The sequence below is a fragment of the Homo sapiens genome, chromosome 2 (assembly GCF_000001405.40).
Source record: "Homo sapiens chromosome 2, GRCh38.p14 Primary Assembly".
Lineage (NCBI taxonomy): Eukaryota > Metazoa > Chordata > Mammalia > Primates > Hominidae > Homo > Homo sapiens.
Window position 1 is genome coordinate 22228441 of NC_000002.12, and position 2153 is coordinate 22230593.

At 40.1% G+C, this 2153-nt stretch overlaps 1 annotated feature.

Annotated features, from left to right (window-relative positions):
• Positions 657-830: a silencer, noted in NCBI's record as "fragment chr2:22451969-22452142 (GRCh37/hg19 assembly coordinates)". NCBI's record gives its function as "represses an EF-1alpha promoter that drives an FKBP-Casp9 reporter gene in an ReSE screen in K562 erythroleukemia cells {active_cell/tissue: K562}" and the evidence as "EXISTENCE:reporter gene assay evidence [ECO:0000049][PMID:32094911]".

Sequence of the window (2153 nt, forward strand, 5' to 3'; positions counted from 1 at the left end):
ATATGCTCCATTTGCTTATTTGGAAGTTTAAAAAAATAATTGATTTAAAATTTCTATTAACTCTATAACATGGGTTTTGTCAGGGACAGTTTCTATTCACGATTTTTCTTCCTGTGCATGGGCCATACTTTCTTATTTCTTTTAATTTTTGTTATTTTATGTTGAAAATTGGGCATTTTAGCCTCCCGAGTAGCTGGGACTACAGGCAGGAGAACGGCGTGAACCCGGGAGGCAGAGCTTGCAGTGAGCGGAGACTACGCCACTGCACTCCAGCGTGGGCGACACAGCGAGACTCCATCTCAAAAAAAAAAAAAAAAAAAAAAAAAGATAATTGGGCATTTTAAGTAATAAACTTTTGCAACTTTGCAAATTGGATCCCTCTCCTCACCAAGGCTTGTTATTGTTGCCGTTTATTGTTGTTACTATTGTTAGTTTTGTTTAACCATAAAAAAGGAAATCTTACCATTTCAACAACACAGATGAAGTGGGAGGTCATTGTCAGTGAAATAAAGACAAATAGTGTCTCACTTATTTATATGAAATCTTAAAAAGTTGAACAAAAACAGAATAGACATAGTGAAACCCTGTCTGTACTGAAAATACAAAAATTAGCTGGGCATGGTGGCGTGTGCCTGTAATCCCAGCTCCCCATTAGGCTGAGGCAGGAGAATCGCTGGAAACCAGGGGGCAGAGGCTGCAGTGAGCCAAGATTGTGCCACTGCACTCCAGCCTGTCCAAGACTCCATCTTTAAAAAAATTTTAAAAAAGATTTTTTTCGTTTGTAGTTTTTGGTTTGTTTATTGAGTTTTCAAAACTAATTCTGTAAAATCACTAATCTTCATTATGTGTGACCAATTAAGTTTCTGCTCAGTTTACTAGTCAAGAAGAGACTGGACAAAGATTTTCATAAATACCTTGAACTTATAAGTCCTCTAGCTTTTGCTGATGGGGTTCTATTTGTGTACTGGAGTGTGTTTTTATGCATTCAGAGTGTTTACAGCTCTGTCTTAGCATTTATTTCTGGTTGGTACAGAATCTCAAGATCAGCCACAGCTGAGAAATTAGGGTCTTTTAAGTCTTTTTCTGGGTACACACACATTCCTGAAGATGCAGGTGGTCTTCTAGATTCCCAGGAGCAGATCAAAGATTTACAAAGCTTCCTATGGACATTTCATATTCCAAAATTTTCATTAATTTGTTTTTTGCTTAGTTTTTAATTGTCCCATTTGTTTCAACTGCTTCAGGAAGCTGGGATGTTAAACAATTGTTGACCAACTGCCCAAAATGAGCAAGTTTTGAGTCAGGACAATAACAGAAAATCCCTGTCGGTGGAGGTTTCCAGGAAACCACAGGATGGGTTGGTTAAGTACCACTGTTTGGGGATGGCACTCTTTGTTATCTCCAAACTTGTTCTCCCCCTTCAGTGGCTGCTTGTCTACTGATTTTTATTTTTTAATTTTTTTTTCTTGAGACAGAGTCCTGCTCAGGCACCCAGGCTGGAGTGCAGTGGCGCAATCTTGGCTCATTGCAACCTCTGCCTCCCTGGTTCAAGCCATTCTCTTGCCTTAGCCTCTCAAGTAGTTGGGATTACAGGCACCTGCCATCGTGCCCAGCTCATTTTTGTATTTTTAGTAGAGACGGGGTTTCACCATGTTGGCCAGGCTGGTCTTGAACTCCTGACTTCAGGCAATCCACCCACCCCTGCCTCCCAAAGTGCTGGGATTACAGGCATGAGCCACTGTGCCCGGCTGTCTACTGATCTTCAAGGCTGCAGTGACTGTGTGGTTATTGACTTTCAAGGCTTCTACGGAATGAAAAGCGGGTGTGAGCATGTTAAAATGTTGGAAGCTCACTGTTCTCACTGTTCTTACAGAGATTGGGTCCCTTTTTAAAATAAACCTCCCTTGAATTCTTGCGTGGGCTGTTAATTCTGAGTAATGAAAAAGTTGATCTTGACTTTTTGCCATTGTTCTTACTGTTTTCATGGAGTTTTTAGAGGTCCTTTTCTCATTCCATTGCTGTCAATGTTACATGGTTAGTTACTTTTGTATTTGAGGCTGTTGTGTATCTGTTAAAGTTTTGTGGTTGCAATTAACAGAAATTCAACCTGGCTTAAGTAGTAACACGATGTTTAAGAGGGATTTGGAGGATTT